At 36.2% G+C, this 18,356-nt stretch overlaps 1 long non-coding RNA gene across 6 annotated transcripts in view; it reads left to right on the forward strand.

Moving 5' to 3' along the window:
* Window positions 1–18,356, forward strand: part of LOC105376350 (uncharacterized) — a 116,889-nt gene that overhangs the window by 52,215 nt on the left and 46,318 nt on the right. The window contains exons 2-4 of one of the 6 annotated variants that reach the window (NR_188171.1): window positions 5,824–5,940; window positions 12,462–12,553; window positions 16,129–16,198. The exons of 1 other annotated variant lie outside the window; for it this stretch is intronic. This is a non-coding gene — a long non-coding RNA (uncharacterized LOC105376350). Of the gene's footprint in view, window positions 1–5,823; window positions 5,941–12,461; window positions 13,471–16,128; window positions 16,255–18,356 lie in introns of those variants that run through there. 4 more of the 6 variants (NR_188172.1, NR_188175.1, NR_188173.1 and 1 more) reach the window with 4 other exon arrangements.

An 18,356-nucleotide genomic window follows, 5' to 3' on the forward strand; every position in this document is an offset into this window, starting at 1 on the left:
GATAATTAATGCTACAAATAGTATTATTTGTAACTAAATAATAGGAAGATCAAATTAGACATAGTGTATTTCCATTACGATTTTAAAAACATAAAAGAATATCAGACATGCTTGCTAAACAAAATAATCTTCACCACAGAATCTCTATGACATTCAGAGAAGCTCCAAAACGGAAAGTCATTTGAATAAAGACATAGGTATAAAAGAAATTTAAGTTATAATCAATTTTTTAAATTATTAAATGATATACATAAAATCATATGCTTCTCTTGACCTAAATAAATGTTTCAACCTAAGGATAAAGAAAATTAACAGGGCTCAGTATTGCCGCCTCTGGTGTGAATGCTGCCATCTTTTGATTTTGTCATGAATGTGTTGCTGTTATAGCAATCTTGCTTTCATAGCCCTGGGCACATTTAATTAAACACGTGCTAGCCATTTAATACACAAGAGACCAGAGAAGTGCCAAGAAATCCTTTATCAATATGCTTGTATTAAAAAAATGTCAGTAAAGAAAATTGCATAACAATTTATGGTGACTTTATTATTGAACTTTATTTGTACATTACTTTATTATGTATTTGTTAGCAGATGCCACCAAATAATAGAAAACGCTACTAAATAATGTGACATGATTTTTATTAGATCAAGGGACAACAACCTGCATGACATAAAGATGTGGTAATCATAGGAAAGATGACATACTCTAACTTACTCTAAAGCTATTCTGTGGCCTTGAATTATTAGAGTCATAAACTGATACAATTATCCAGAAAAGCCTTAGAGACATCAAAATACTCCCCATTTAAGCAGCAATATGTTGAAGAATAAATTTCCATTTTTAGTAGTTCAGTTCTATTCTCTATAACCCCTAAAGGGCAATGCTGTTCGATATATCTTTGTAATGACAAAATTGTGGCTGTTTAGTGTGTTTATTTAACCAGCTAATGTTTATTGGCAGGCCTGCCTCTTAAGTACACTAATACTGTGTTGGATGTAATGTCTTTTATTATTTTTTCTTATAGGAATTTTGTTTGAAGCTTGAGGAAAATAATATTCTATAGAAGTTTTTGCCTTTCTTCCCTCACAAATGTATAGATTAATAGAAATGGATAATTATGATGTTGCAAATAAAATGAAAAACTTAGAGAAGTATTTCATGATTTCATAAGTACCAGTAACACTGCACAAAATATCATCCTCAAAGAAAGAAATTATATATGTTTATTAATTCACTGAGGTAAAAGTCATGTTTGGTGACTTCTTATTAAATTTACACTAACATATTGCAAAAGAAAAGCTAACTTTTGATGTAAATTAAAGGCCAATCAGAGCTTTTTTAATGCCATGTATCAACATAATGCTAATTTCAAATATCAAATTTCTTAAGTAATGATTAATTCATCTTAAAATCTTGGCTAAATGAGTTAGGCATCATTTCTTACCTGTGATTTTATTAAGTATTTTTTAGGAGATTAGGGTGTAAGAGGCTAAACATGTCGTTGAGAGTGAACAAGTCTGCCTTAGCCTCCCAAGTTCTTTCTCTGGAGTCTGGTATCTTCTCATATGCGTGTATGATTGGCACTCAGCTCAAAGTGGGTCCCCTTTAGATGTAAGTCATTCTCTCTCTGCAGAACTCTCCTCCTCAGTACATTGCCCTGCAAACTCTGGGTTCTGTGGCTTCTCTGGATTCCCAGGTCATTTCTCTCCTGGCTGGGAGATGTTGTGCTCTTCCTGGGCCAGCTAGTTTATTTCTAGTATCTCAAGAATTACTGTCCTTCCTTGCCAGACACCAATGTCTTGAATTTCATTGTTTTATTTATTTGGTTGGTTGAGTTTCTACTTGTTTCTGCACTATATTCTGTTTTAATTATCTCTTTTTCTGTTATTTACCAATGCCACACTGTCTTGATTATCAGAGCCTTTTAGTAAGCCTTGAAGTCAGATAGTGTTAGCTTTCAACTTTGTTCTCTTTCAGTGATGTCCTGGCTATTCTGGGTCTTTTACCACTCTCTCTGTAATATTTAGAATGAGTTTGGTAATATCTACAAAATAACTTGCTGAGATTTTGTTTGGGATTGTGATGAATCTATATATTAAGTTGGGAAAAACTGACATCTTGACAACATTGAGTCATCCTATCCATGAACATGGAATATCGTTCCATTTATTTAGTTCTTCTTTAATATATTTCATCTGAGTTTTGTAGTTTTCCTAACATAGATCTTGTACATATTTTGATAGATTTATACATAAATATTTCATTTTGGAGGGGTGTTAATTAAGTATTAGTGCTTTTTTTATTTCAAATTTCACTTGTTCATTGCTGATAAAAAGGATTGACTTGTACTTTAACCTTGTATCCTGCAACCTTGTTATAATTGCTTATTTAGTTTCAGAAGATTTTTGTCAATTCTTTCGGATTTTCTACTTAGTCATTTCATCTGTGAGCAAAGACAATTTTATTTCTTTCTTTTCAACAGGTTGAACTTATTTTTCACTATATGAAGCTATATATAAAATAAGAGAAAATTCAGAACTCTTCAATAAATAGCAATAATTTAAAATTATGCTGAAGTTAGAGATGATTAGTTGCCCAATAATGTTTAATTTGAAAAAAATCATGAAATTATATATTCATCCATCTGCCAAATGTTTTGTTAGAGTGATAGCAATGAATGTGTATTATGAGAAATTTTGAGAGTTCTTGTTTTAATATTTGAATGTTGATTCACTAAAAACACATGAGCATATTAATGTAAACTGTTTAATTTTTTCTCTTCAAATAAAATGTCAATTATTTTTTTCCCTGAATATTTTAACCCTTTCCAGAGTTTAAGCCTTACTAGTCACTGATTTTTATGAAATAATATCCTTACTTAAACAAAATTAAGTTATATAGGAAATTGACCATTTTTCAATCAAATTAGCCCAGGCTCATAATTTAACAAAAAGGTGCACTTTGCATTCTGTTTATTGGTTATGTATACAGGGAAGTGAAAGAACATGGCCAGAAATCATTAACAGTGGGGTGTGTGTGCACACGTGTGGGGGTCTGTGCTAAGGTTTGAGTGAGAATAATAACATGAGTATTTAGCCTCTAATATTAGTTAAAAAAAAAAAAAACAGGGATACTTTTCAGTAGTTTTTTAAAAAACAAATATGCCACACAGACTTTATACCCTAAGATGAAAGTAAACTCAACTTTCATCAAGACTTTTTGGCAAAAAAATGTTATAGAAGTTGATGGATATTATCATATGAAACAGCAGCAACTGCTTTCAGTGAAATAAGATGTCTGAACTAAGCCTCTTTCCTTCTCTCTTATTCTGTTTCTTCCTTTGGCCCTATTTTTTATTTCTGTGTGTATTTAGTTAACAAAAAAATGCCAAGGTAATTAAGGTAAACAGTCCTAACTTTTTAAAAGGCAATCAACGACATAGAAAAAAACATTTAGCATATGTGCTTTAGTATTTTAGTCACATATTATCTGTGTAAATTATAAATATGAGTATATTTCAGTTCTCCGGAAACTTTATTAACTTGAAGCTGTAACTCCATTAACTGTATTCCTTTTTTATTTCCAAAAATAGAAATATGTCCCAAAAGACAGGAATGCCAACAAAATAATAAAATAACCTCTAATATCAATGTCTGTGAAATAAAATTAGAATCAAAAGAGATTTTTCCTTTAAGTACATTTATAAAAATGTACTGGTCTGGGAGTGGTGGCTCACGTCCATAATCCCAGCACTTTGGGTGGGCAAGGCAGGAGGATCACCTGAGGTCAGGAGTTTGAGATCAGCCTGGTCAACATGGTGAAACCCCGTTTCTACTAAAAATATAAAAATTAGCTGGATGTGGTGGTGTGCACCTGTAGTCTCAGCTTCTTAGGAGGCTGAGGTGGGAGAATTGCTTGAACCCGGCAGGTGGAGGTTACAGTGAACCAAAAGCATGCCACTGCACTCCAGCCTGGGCGACAGAGCAAGACTCCATCTCAAAAAAAAAAAAAAAAGTACTAACTTTGACTAATTATTTATCATAAATATTAATGCCAATTTTTAGAAACAACATTTCTTGTATTATTCTGTCTCTGAGCTTTGGTAGGAGTAGGCACGTTTAAGGAAAATACTGCTGATGTTATGCCACTGAAAATAAGCACATAGGCATACAGCAGCTCTCTCAATCCCGAATGAGATGCATTTGCCCCTCAAGTCAGTTATTTCTCTATTCAGTATCAAATTCATCATACAAGGCATATTATTTAAAGGTAACACCAAAACTTTTATGAGCTTGTTAATATAATAATAACATAACTGCATTTTGTCGCAATCCACAAACCTAAAATCAGGGATTTAGCGTAGCAGCAGAGTTGCTCACTGATGCCTGCCTTATCTTTCTTCTGGCACAGTTATTTTGAGCTTATCCTAAGCTTCATGTGAGTTCCCTGGATATCCACACAAATAATCATCACGCAGGCAAAACAGGAGTAATACGAATAAACAATAAAAATATTTTTAAAGCTATTAAAAGTTGTTCCTAGGTAGAAAGTATGTTTAGGCAACCACCAATAATTCATTCTGTACTAGGCTCTAATAAAATCAATCCAAATGTTCACAAACTGAAAAATCAATTTTTGCTGATCATATTTTAATAAATCTGGAAATTAATTGCAGCTCTTTAATAAGAGAGTTTTCTACAAATACAAGCAAGTTTTTAAAAAGATCCAAAATAATTGTTTGGTCAAAGAAATCAGAAAAATAATATCAAAGTATTTGAAAAACAATGAAAAAAATCTCTATATATCAATATATACCCAACATAGTTATGGCAGGCATGTTATGGCTACCTAAAATATGTTTATCGAAAGAATTCTTAAAACCTACTCCTAGGTTAGGAAACGTGGCAAACGGAAATCCGGGTTGCAGATGAAACTGTTTGTTAAGCCTCTGACAGTAAGAAGGGGAAATAGTTCTGTATCATCCAGGTGGGCCTAATGTCAGGAACAGGGTCCTTAAAGTGGAAGAGAAAACCAAAAGACAGAACCAGAGAGATGGGATCTTGAGAAGGACTTGAACAGACATGGCTGGCTTTGAAGATTGGAAAAGAGGCTGCAAGTCCACGAATACAGGTGACTTCTATCAGATTGGTACAAAAGCGATTGCACTTCTTGCCATTTTAATGCATCAAGAAGCTCAATTACTTTTGCACCAACCTAACAGAAGCTGGAAAATGCATGTCAACAGATTCTTGCCTATCACCTGCAGGAGGAACACAGCCTTGCTGATACTCTGATTTCATCCCAGTGATACCTATTTAGGACTTCTGAGCTCTAAAACGGTAAGACAATAAAGTTTATGCTGTTTTAAGATGTAAGGTTACGCTAATTTGTTACACAGCAATAGGAAACTCATTGAAATATGTTCTAGCTTCAAATATTTTTATGCAATAAAAACAATCTAAGCCTTCACCTCATATTTCTTAAGTTCAAAAATATGTTAAATAAAAACCAAAGCACCCAGTGGCAACAATACCCCAGTAGCAGCAAACACACTTAACACCCATCTTGGTTTCTAAGACCATTCTCCAACAAAATGAACCAGCACACTTTCAAGAAATGGTAGATTCTAGGACTGAAGCAGAAAAAATATAAGATAATTCCAGAGCATCTTGTAGTGCCAGAAAATAAGGAAGTTCTCAAAACAAAGAACAGCAACAGAAAAACAAGTGAAGCAAAACACAATATTTATAGTCTGTACTGTTGATATGAGTTAAAAAAATGGTATTTTAACCCTCTAGTTTTTCTCTCCAACCCCAATCTAGTATAAGAAAAACAGCAGACGAACACCAGGTGAGGGAGAGTGTATTAAACACCTGGACGGTACTCCGCAAATATGACACAGTCACCAAAGACAAGTTTGAGAATCTGTCTCAGACAAGGTGAGCCTAAGACAGCATCACAGTTATAGACAGGATCCTGGAGTAGAAAAAGGCCCTTAGGTGTGCAACAAAGTAATCTCAATGCAGTATGCACTTTAGTTAACAATAACATGTCAGTATTGATTTATTATTTATATCAAAAGTACCATACTGATGTAAAGAATTATCGTACTAATGCAAGAAAAGAGAACGTGGGGTATATAGGAATCTACTGGGTTTTTTTTTCTTAAAAATTGTTCTAAAATTAAAAAGTTTATGTAAAAGTTGCATAAGAAAAAAGGAAAATAAAATTTTAAAAACAAATAATTAATATATTAGAAAATGTAAAGTTAAAGTTGTAAGAAAATAACAGAAAAGTCTGGTTCTTTATAAAATATAATCACATAGAAAAATCTTGAATATACTCATTCATGTGAAAATGAAATCATTAAGTAGGAAGAAGATAGAAGAAATTCAAAAAATGCTTAAGAGGCTTAGCAAACAATTTAGCAAAAAATAAAAATTTAATATAATTTTGCACATGCATTTTTAGTTTATATGAGGTATAAGATGTTGTGGTGGACCCAAGGGTACTGAATCGTTATTCTTACAGTTGACAAATAGAGAGAAAAGCTAGTAGGTATCCGGCCTTCTCTGAGCTATTACTTTAGTGCATTCAAATAGTTGATGGGAAAGAAATCCTTCATTATAGACAAATTCCAATTAATTATAGAAGGACCAACAGTATTAGAACATCACAATTTTACAATCCCCGATGAAATCTTTTTTAAAAGAAACTATCAAAAACAGCTGCTAAAACCATTAATCAAAACTTTGTGAACCTGTGGACCTTATTTGAGCATCACCATTAATCAAAACTTTGATGTGAAACTTTCCACTAGGAATATGAGGCTGAGCACACTGATTTAACTTTGGTATCAGTAAAGTGGGACAATCAGAAACCATGGCAAATAATGTGATGAAAGGGAAAGCTCATAGCCTTGCCTATGAATCCTTTTGTGTTCAAACAATTAATCCCGAATCTAAGTAAAACATTTGCTCTTAATACTATAATATAGAAAAGTGCTGGAAAACCCTTGGCCAAATCATAAATGTGCAGGTGGACAAACGTCCTAGTGCCCCACGCTTAGATGAACATGGTATTGTAATAAACCACTTTGACCAATACATGAGTGGTATAGCAAAAAAGATAGGAAAAGGAAGGCCCAGGAGTTGGGCATTGTTGCTATAGCTGCCACTTAGGAAAGAAGAAATCGGGTAATGAACTATCAGCCAACTCCTCATTGATTTTTAGCATTTTCAGACTTCCTTTCTTCAACCATGAACCTTAATACCAACACCATAAATAGCAGATTAATAGGTCATTTTGTATCAGGATATCAATTATAAAAATCCTGTAGTTGGCTGGGGACGGTTGCTCACGCCTGTAATCCCAGCACTTTGGGAGGCCAAGTTGGGCAGATCACTTGAGGTCAGGAGTTCAAGACCAGCCTGGCCAACATGGTGAAACCCCATCTCTACTAAAAATATAAAAAATTAGCTGGTGTTGTGGTACACACACACCTGTAGTCCCAGCTACTCAAGAGGTTGAGGGTGGAGAATCACTTGAACCTGGGAGACAGAGGTTGCAGTGAGCCAAGATCGCATCACTGCACTCCAACCTGGATGACAGACACTCCATCTCAAAAGCAAAAACAAATCCTGTAATTGTATCATTTTAAAAATTAGTTTTCTTGATTCTTGCCGGGGCCAGAGTGTTATCCTTTTTTATGTTTCCCATGTGAAATAGGATTTATCTGACGTACTCACATCTGAGTTTCTCAATGAAGGGTTGTAACTTCAGAAACATTAATAAAATACAACAATTCCCTTAGCGTAAGGTGTGAAACTTTAATTAAAAGATGCTTACTTAATTTACAATTGGAAAAAGTGAGTTTGCTACCACTTGGTGTTGAAAACTTACACAAGGGGAGGTTCCTGGGTCCTCCACCTTTCATTGGTGTCAAAGGCTCGTATTATGATTAGGGCTATGCAGGCTACATGGAGCTCATCTGCAGACAGTATCAGGACAGGAAGATCATTCTACCCTCCTCTCTAAGATTTACAGTTACATGAGCAGAAGGAAATGATATGGATTCTGAATTTCTACTAAATAAATAAAATACTTCACTGGCTTGTTCTGTAATACAGCTGGTCAGACAACATTTAATTGCCTTTAATTCATGCTTATCTTAATTAATGTTGCCTGTCAGCAAGTGGCACTTATAGGTAAGAAATTCTTCCCTAGCCTAAAAAACAAAAGTGAATCTCACTGACTGGCTGGTTCATCGAGAAGCATAAATTCTACTTCAGAATGGGGTTTCTAAAAGATTAGAATCCAAATAATGGGAGATTCACTAGAAGAAATGGTCAGTTGGCTGGACTTTCCTTGAATGACTAGTCTTATCTAAATCAGGCTGCAGTATTATTGAGTTAACATTTTGCAGAATTAACTCAAATAGAAAATTTGGTTTATCAATCAAGTGGAAAATGCGGGGCTAAGAAGTCATTAGTCTTTTGCTCTTTTTCATTTTTCTTTTTTTCCTATCTTGGAATGAATAAATGAACTATGAAAAATTTTAGAAAAATCGACTATGATACTTTTTTCTTCTTCTCTTTTCATCCTTGAATCTTGACAAAGCAGATCTCATATGCATTCCTAAAAGGGAACTTGTAGCACTTCTCCTGAGAATATGATGCTCTAAAATATCAAAAGAGAATAAAGCAATTTAATGTGCTTCATAAATTCCTACCCATGCACATCTTCCTGCTTAATCGTTTGTTAAATCTTCTTACCTAATCACACAGAGAAAGTCAGGTTTGACTTCCTGAATGCTTATAACACCTGTCTAGACTTGTCTGTTTTTTAACTTATCTGCATAAAGCACTATGCATGCTTCTTATATACTAGTATGTTCTCATTTCTAAGTCCTTAACTAAACAATGCTAATAACATTTTACATCAGGACCACTGGTTGTTATAAATATATTTACTCTTTATTGTGCTACTGTTTTTAGCTCCACATTTGCCTTGATGATGCTTCACTGCAAACCATCCCAAGATTCAGTGGTCTTAAACAATAAGCCTTTACTTAGTGCATGAGTTGGAGGGTCAGTGACTGGCAAGGTTGAGTGGTCCTCCTGGTCTGGGCTGGGCTCACTTACATGTCTAGGTTGGGCTGGCTTTTGACCTAGACTGACCTTAAAGATGGGCAGCCAAGTCCTTTTCCATTCTTCTCATCTCTTCTGCTCCAGAAGGCCTTCTCAGGCTACTGGGAAATGGCAGAGGAGACTGATCTACCCAAGTGATCTGCCCAACTTGGCCTCCCAAAGTGCTGGGATTGCAGGTGTGGGCAACCGTCGCCAGCCAATTACAGATCCTAAGGCAAATGCACAGCCTCCAGAGGCCCAGATCTGGAATGGGGACATCTCCACTCTGCTGGGTGGTCTCGGCCAAAGCAAGCCATTTTACGGGGCCAAATTCTAGAACAAAGAGGAGACTGTGACGGTTTAATTTGAGGGACCACAAGGTCACGTGGCCAACAACATAGCTAGGGAAGCTTGAGAAATAGCAACATTGAAGCAACTAGTCTATTCCAGCTACCAATGAAGGATCTTAATTCAACCCCAAGGGCCCCAAAATTATAAAAAGGCCAACATCATTTTGTAGGAATAAAACCCCACGGTAAAGAATATAACTGATAAAATATTAACCTGAAAACCAGAGTCTTAATATATGTATTAAAAATCATCTTCAATCCTTTATTTACACTGGAATGCATCATCACAGTTGATGCATGCAACACATTCACCGTTTGCCAGCTCTGTCCCAACAGGTTTCCAAACATTAACTCATTTAATCTTCGTAACACGACCGCTATTAGATCTACACTACGCCAGGCACGTGCGGCTTCCCCATCCACCTTCCTGCCCATGAAGGCAAGCTGCGTTACACATGAAAAATAAAGAGCTATGTCAAAATAGATCAGGACTAATTTCCATTCACCTAAAGTTTGTCTACTGAATGTGTTTCTTTTTCTGTCCAAAGAAATCAGTTCATTTACATTTTCTGTAAACTTAGTAAACAATCAGGTTTTCATCTTTTTTTTTCAATTAGGCTATAACTAGATAGGTAGAAAATAAAAAATATACACTTTTTAACTGTGAAGTTAAAATAAATTGTAGAATGGGCTGCAAGAAGCACAAAGGCATTTCATTTCATTTTTCAAGTACCATTTGCAGATGTGTTTCACATATTTAATATCTTCCTCCAATGAAGAAGAAACAATAAACAGGAAGGCTCAAAATGGGCTTAAAAAAATCCTTTAAAATCACCAGGTATTATCAGAGCCAGTATTGTAATCATCATGATACGGCGTCAAATGTAGCCTTATCGAAATTGAAAAAAAAAATGGCAACAACAAAGCCCAAAATCTTCATGATGTTCTGTAGCTTGTTCTATATTATGAATGTACTAATCTCATGCCACCTTTCTAAAAATGTTTCTACCTATTGAAAAAGCTATGCCAAGAATAGTATCAGGTTATTTTTCTGGTTCCTTTTTGTAGGCACTATTCCTTTTCATAAGTAAATTATGAAACTCGGCACTGCCAACTGTGTTACTAAATTATATGATTGTGATCTCCATCAAAGAACGGACTACACTTGTAGCAGAATGGTTGATTGTAGGAAACACTTTTAACTTCCCACATAATTCCATGATCTGATTTCCCCATAGAAGTTTTAACCATAGCATATATGTACATTCAGACTTCTTATGGCAAATGAGTTGTCAGATTGCATATTTGTATATTTTAAGGAATATTTGTCAGAATTTAGGCAAATAATCTATCTCTTCTAAATATTAACTTTAATGTACAACTTAAAATTCTTAGATTACTCTTTAATCATGCATAGAACATTTTTTAGTGTATCTTTTGTTTATATTCCTAACCATACCCTTTAGGATCTTTAGAAACTAAACATTTTCCCAAATATTTTATAATGAATATGTATAGTTTTCATAATCAGAAAATAGACTAAGTGTACCATTTTAACTATGAAATCTGGGAATTGAATCGTGTTTAACCCTCACAATTTATTTCCTTTTTTTAAAATGTTATGCTTAAAGGAAATGTAGGGCCCCACCTTTGGGTCTACATGGGCCACAGTGCGAGCAGAATGCTCTTCCCATTCCGATATCACAGGAGTGGACGACGACACTGAAGACCTCATTCCTTACCCTAACGTGGAACCACAATGCCAGATAACCCCACATTTCCTCTGAGGATGTGGATTCTGTTTTCCAGTTCTTTGAAACTGGCTCACCCTGTCTGTCGTTGGATGATGAATGTGATATAAATAGCAGTGAGCCGGTCCAAGCCTTGGCTGGGGGCCTTGGTGTTTCACTTGCTCTCTCTCGCACCCTGTCCTGCCATCACTACGGGAAAATGCCCAGCCTTGGAGAATGACAGGTGCGAGCATCCACATGGTCTCCTAGGGAATGCCCTCCTCAATGGGCCAACAGCCAGCTGACACTCTGGCCGGTGAGGGAACTCCACACATTCAGCAGGGCTCCCCCAGCCGCTGTCCCCAGACGCAAGCACAATTCATGCTTGATGTTGTTTAGCACTGAAGATTCCTGGCTGTTTGTTACACAGCCTCATGAAGGAAAAGATTATTGATATATCAGGGTAATGTTAGTGAGTCTGAATTTGGAAACATAGGATAAATGAGTCTTTGCATAAATGAAAGCTTTCAACAGGCTTCAAAGGCCAAGTCTCAAAGCTTATAACCTAATCAGAGTTAATTGTTTTAGTCATTTTTATGAATAGAAATCATATGGGTGTTTTAAATGTATATGCACCTAACATTTTCCAATTATTAAGAATCACCTTTCATAAATATTTTCTTTCCTTTTTGACAAGACCATTCACAGCGTATGTCGAGACATAAATGGCCATATTTTGCCTGTGTTTTTTTTTTGTTAGCCTTACAGAAAAGAAATGCCTAGAACTGAGAGTTTATCAATCAGTTCCAATGTCTTTGAAAAGGACAACCATTTAGTATGTATGAGGCATATAGAGACTTTCACTGTAGTGGCAACTGTATTGGCAACTAAAGAGACTCTCATTTGGAATCCCAGCTTCTTAGTTATCACACAACGCAATAAAATTATCTCAGCTGTATTTGCCTCACTTGTAAAATGAGAGCAACAAAATCACACATAGAAGAAGTGTCATGCACCACGTTATTCCACTCAGTTGTGCACTTACATCTATTTACTTTACACGCAAGGGTTCTGTAAACTTTCAAGCACTACGTTAATGTAAGTTATGATCATTGTACCGCCTTGTCAAACATTTCAAGCAACTTTTGCCTCTCCTATGAATTTTCTTTTCATTATGATTTGAGCTCTATTTATTTGGTTTAATGTATTTAATTATATGATAGCGGTCACTGGCTCCTTTTCCTTTCCTCAGATCTTGACACTGCTGACCAGGGACAAAATGTCCCATTGACAGTCATGCTCTGGAGCAGGATGGGCAGTGAGAGACCAGAGACCACAGGATGGGTAAGAAATAGCCCAGCTCAGGCTACTGGGTTGAAGAACTGCCAGAGCGTGATCGCCAACGTGCAGATTTCTGATCTACGTGTAATGTAGAAGCTGACTGTTCTGTATCTGACGTTTCATTTAGAGTCTATGAAGTAGCTTAGGCCAATTACTCATAGCCGCCTGCCCCTCCTCAGTTACCTGGACATATGTCTTGTGTTCTGGAATCAAAACTAATTCTGAATGCATATCCTGAAAACATGGGACACTTACTCAGATTTCACTCTTGGGTGTCATTGGCCTTTTAATTATTTTCTATCAATAGACCGACCTTAGATTTACTTGTCAAAAAAAGTAAGGTCATTTTATGAGCACTTTCATTCCAATTTCCTAGATGTCTTTTCTGATTAGAAAAACCTATAAACTATGTAGCTTTGAATTTATAGAATCATTATTCCTGAAGGTTTTGCTGTCCTTTGCGCTCAGAGATGGTCCCACTGACTCAGAGATGGTCCCACTGACCCAGCATGGCAGAGCCTGTGATTGCAGCTCCAGGGGCCCTCAATTCATTTGTTTCCCTGCCTCTCCATCTCCCCATGTTATCCTGTCACCCCAAAAAGCACCTGCCTGCAACACGGTCAACAGAGTCCATCCATAGAGTCCCGCTGGTTCAGCTGGTTGTTTCCAGCTTTTTGACCGTGACCCACCAAGAGAAGCTCATCTTAACTAGCAATGCAAATGACACACTTATACATGTGCACACACACAGAGCACTTCAAAAAGCAACACTTTATTAACTATGCTACTTCTAAAGCATTTTAATCCCAGCTCTTAACTTTTGCAGAAAGTGTTTATAAGCATTCAATTGATTACTATTCACAGTTAGAAAAAAATATATTGGTCACGTATGTGGTAATAAAACTGCAAAGTGTACCGAGCATCGGTTCTTCACACAGTAATTCTTCACAACAACCGTCAAAAAGCGTCAGAGGCATACTAAAGTGAATGGTGGTCTGAGCTCACAGCCTGTGGGTGGCTGAGTGGGCCAGTGAGGGGCTGGTCTGGCTGGAGACCGACGCCCCTGCAGTGAGTTGCGGGTTGTTCTGTGCACCCATCTGCACCTTTGCATGTCAGGGGCTGCCTGGGAGCCAGTCTAGAAGGGCCAGAGCTGGGAGAGTGGAGAAATTGACTCTGTCATCCACCTTGATAACCCAAATATATTCTTGGAATCACGGGAAAGGTCAACAGAGACAGGAGGATTTCTCCAGTGCGTTTCAAGGCCTCCACTTCCTTTATCTCTCCTGACAGCTCCTTGGATACAATGTCACAAATCTTGGCCTGAGCAAGAATGTGCAAGTGGGAGCGAGGGTGAGAAATTGGGGTCGTTCGCATCATCTATCACAGAGTTTCATAAGGAAAACAGCTGTGACTTCCAGTGCAGTGTGCCATCCTAAGCCAAACAAGCTACAAGCAGACCCTGGGTGGTCTCAATGCTCTGGAAGGAAGCGCTCCAGTGGCAGTGTCTCTGTGGAATCTGTCATGGAAGTCAACCTTCTAAGCTGCTCAACGTCTTGAATAAATGGGGAGAGGAAGAGGAGATTCTAAATGCCTTAACTGTGGAAGAAAATACCATGTATATTAACCGTGATGTGGCTTAAAAATAAAGGCATTATTTTAATTTACACACTGGATAGGGAAGACACTTCCAAACTCCAATAGCCCTAGTACAGCGAAAGAAGTGGATGGAGAATTCAATTTCACACCATTGAGCTAAAAGGTATCTTTCTTCCCCAGCAACCGCTAGCAATCGCAAATATCTATTTCTCTGGTGTATTATAAAAAATAGCTACAAACAGGTCTCAGCATCCCTGGCCAGGTCAGAATATTTTTGATTCAAACTTAGCAATGAAGAATTATTCTCCCAATATACACATTATTTTTATATTGATTTTACCAATTATTAACACATGCAGTTGATGTGGCACAATTCTATTCAAATTTCTTTTCCAGAAAAACTTTTGTTATCTAAAATTTATATGGTGGGATCTTATGTTTGTAGTCTTTTCATATCATGGGCTATTTCCATTACTTGCAGTTTTCATAAAATGAGAATATCATTTTTTTAATGCATGCTACCTAATGCTAAATGAGGAGTTAATGGGTGCAGCACACCATCATAGTACATGTATACATATGTAACAAACCTGCACATTGTGCGCATGTACCCTAAAACTTAAAGTATAATAATAATAATAATAAAAAGTGGAAAACAAAATATTAAAATGTTTGGTGCTGTATGAATTCAAACAATGTCTTTTTCATGCAACTTGCTTTTAAAAAATAAGCAGAGATGTGGCTATGGCTGTCAGTTATTGAATAATAGAGCATGCATTTAGCTATCAGAGTTCTGTATTTTTTGAGATCACCAAGCTGTTTTGAAGCGTTTGAAGATGAGCATTGATTAATCCTCTCACGCAGCCTAAGGTACCTACTGGCCATTGGAAAAGTGCCAGGAAATGGGTTTGAATATACAGAGGCTCTCGATATTTACTTGAAGAGCTCCAACATAAAACAACCGATTAATGTTTAGAGTGACCTTTAGGAAACAGCACGGAGCACTGGAAAATCCCTTTGAAAATGAGACACATTTGGCCGGGCGCAATGGCTCATGCCTTTAATCCCAGCACTTTGGGAGGCCGAGGTGGGTGGATCATGAGGTCAGGAGATCGAGACCATCCTGGCTAACACAGTGAAACCCCATCTCTACTAAAAATACAAAAAAAAAAAAAAAATTACCTCGGCGTGGTGGTGGGCACCTGTAGTCCCAGCTACTCGGGAGGCTGAGGCAGGAGAATGGTGTGAACCCAGGAGACTGAGCAGGAGACTGAGTTTGCAATAAGCCGAGATCGCGTGCCAGCAGTAAGCCGAGATAGCGCAGCGCTGCACTCCTGCCTGGGCGACAGAGTGAGACTCAGTCTAAAAAAAAAAAAAAAAAAAAAGAGAGACACATTTGGCTATAATCCCCAACATTACCGAGTAACGGTTTGAACTTTGGGAAATTTACTTCCATCCTGATTCCTGATTCCTAATCCATAAGGAATGATGAAACTACTTAGAGGGCGGGCATGTTATTTATGCAAATTGTGTACTCTAGAAAATAAACTCAATCAATAGAACATTTTAAATGAATTTTCTGGAATTAGAGGTAGTCTGGGCAGTGACTCTAGTTTATTCTGTCTGATGGCATTATATGTTCAGTGATTTTTGACTCCAGAACTTGGCGTCACAAAGAAATTGCCAACTATAAGGCCGGACTGTGTTGCCAGTGCTAGAAAATTTGATCTAGAAAAAAAAAAAAAAAAAAACAAATGAAAGCAAGGGGATACATTCATAAAAGTAATCTTATGCCCTGCCCTCTTCAGCAGGATGGGATGGTCAGCCTCTCTGCTAAGGCTGGAATCCTTTACGAGGCTTTGTCTGTGGTAATTAAAAATGATTGACTTTCTTAACGATGACTTTATATTCCTAATTTTATTTTTGTGAAAACAACTTACAAAATTAAGTCACAAAAAGTTTTTTTTTGTTGTTCATTCTAGTGGAAAAGCCAGGAAATTTGTGAGCCGACCAAACCGGATTTGAATTCTCTTTCTGAAAATAAGTAATTATGTGAGTCACTCATTCTCTGAGCTTGAGTTTCTGCATCCGTAAACTAAGGATGATATGTGAGTTTTGCTTGTTTCCCTAAGACAAGTTATGCAAACTGATAAGAGCAGAGTAGACCCTTAGTTAATGTGTTTCCTTTTTTAGTAGTTCTTAATTCTTCAATTTCCATAAGAATTTAGATTAAAAGATGTAGTTTTGCTCAGATGATGCCAAAATCATATGTGCATCTTTTTAAAACTGATTATCAAATATAATTATGTAGTCAGTGAATTAAGCAAGAATAAAAACGACAGTGAAACAAATACAGTTTCCTTCATGTAAAAATGTGTGTAGAGTTTCTTTCATGTAAAATGTTAATTTTCCTGGAATGCCAGTTTGCGAAACTCCTTATTCAGATGTCTTTTAGAAAAATGCAATACCCCAAGAGACCGCCATTTTCTTTAGTAAGTTCCCATTTTTCTGCTGCTGTTTGTGATTCCTGGGCCGCTAAGTTAGTGTTTTATAAGCCTTTGCCTTGGCTCTTCCTTGTTTCAATCCTCTAAACCTGTCAAAAATAACTTAACCCTGCTTTATTGTTCCCATAAATTCATATGTAACTAGTAGCTAAATCCAATTTGTATCAATCTGCCTTTCTTTGTAGCGTATTCTAAATCTCCCAGCATGTTTCCCAAAAGTAGAATCCTATTAACACCAAATAACCAGCTCTGTATTTTATTCAATAGTTATTATAGACCTTCCAGTGTCACAGTGCAGAAAGGAGCCTGATCTCACCACTGATATATTACAGCAAGAATTCCCAAACTCATTACTCTGAGTGTGTGAGAGCATGCGCTGTGGAGGTCCAGAGTGTTTTATAGATGTTTATATACATACTGCCTTTGCTTCAAATTTAGATTATTCCCAACACCACTTAAAATCATTTGACAAGGAACTTCCAGATATTATGGAGTATAAAATGGCTCCACATTATAAAAATAAATAATTTAAAATTTGTAATTGAATATATATATACACATATATATACATATGTATACACATATATACATATATACACATATATACATATATACATATATACACATATATACATATATACACATATATATACAGATATATATACATATATATATATATATATTTTTTTTTTTTTGACGGAGTCTCATTCTCACCCAGGCAGGAGTGCAGTGGCATAATCTCGGCTCACTGCAAGCTCCACCTCCCAGGTTCAAGCCATTCTCCTGCCTCAGCCTCCCGAGTAGCTGGGACTACAGGCACCCACCACCACGCCTGGCTAATTTTTTGTATTTTTAGTAGAGACAGGGTTTCACTGTGTTAACCAGGATGGTCTCGATCTCCTGACCTTGTGATCCACCCACCTTGGCCTCCCAAAGTGCTGGGATTACAGGCGTGAGCCACCATGCCAGGCCTTGTAATTGAACATTAAGTGTCACAAAATAATATGAAAGTTGAAAAAAATATTTTAATTGAGGTATATGATTTGACTTATTTGACTGATGTGACCTCAAGGGAATACCATATTTGACATACAGTATAGATGAAAGTAGTTGCATGTGACCATCCAATTTACATTAAAGGGACATCAAATGCATAATCTAACAGTCTGAGTTCTGCTTTGCATATTATCTAATGAGCTTGACAATGTTTATTCAATAAGGGAGTTTCAGGTTGGATTAGCCAATACTCTTAACTATAGAATGCTTAAAAACAAAACTGTTATTACTTTTGAAAGTATTACAATTTAGACTCTTGAATTTATTACAACTTAAACTCTCATGTTTATTGCAACATAAAATGTATGTTTTAATAGTATTATTATAAATATATTTTGCATTATGTTTTGGCAGATATATTGTCATATTTAATTAGCATAAGAATTGTGCCATGAAGACATTATTCTTATAAATTTAGGACCTTCAGAAAGCTGTGTTTCCTATTAAACTATTTAATCTTTTTATCATGTTGTTTAATTTTAAAATATCAAATTAAATTTAGTTATCAAATACTAAGTTTTACAGGTAGTCAGTAGGAAGACCAAATTCTGCCCATCTTCTGTCTGACTTATAAAATCAAAATTCCCAAAATATGAATTAATCATTATTTAATCACAAAACTATAAATTCAGAAAAATAGATATTTTACG

This window comes from Homo sapiens, chromosome 10, assembly GCF_000001405.40.
Source record: "Homo sapiens chromosome 10, GRCh38.p14 Primary Assembly".
NCBI lineage: Eukaryota > Metazoa > Chordata > Mammalia > Primates > Hominidae > Homo > Homo sapiens.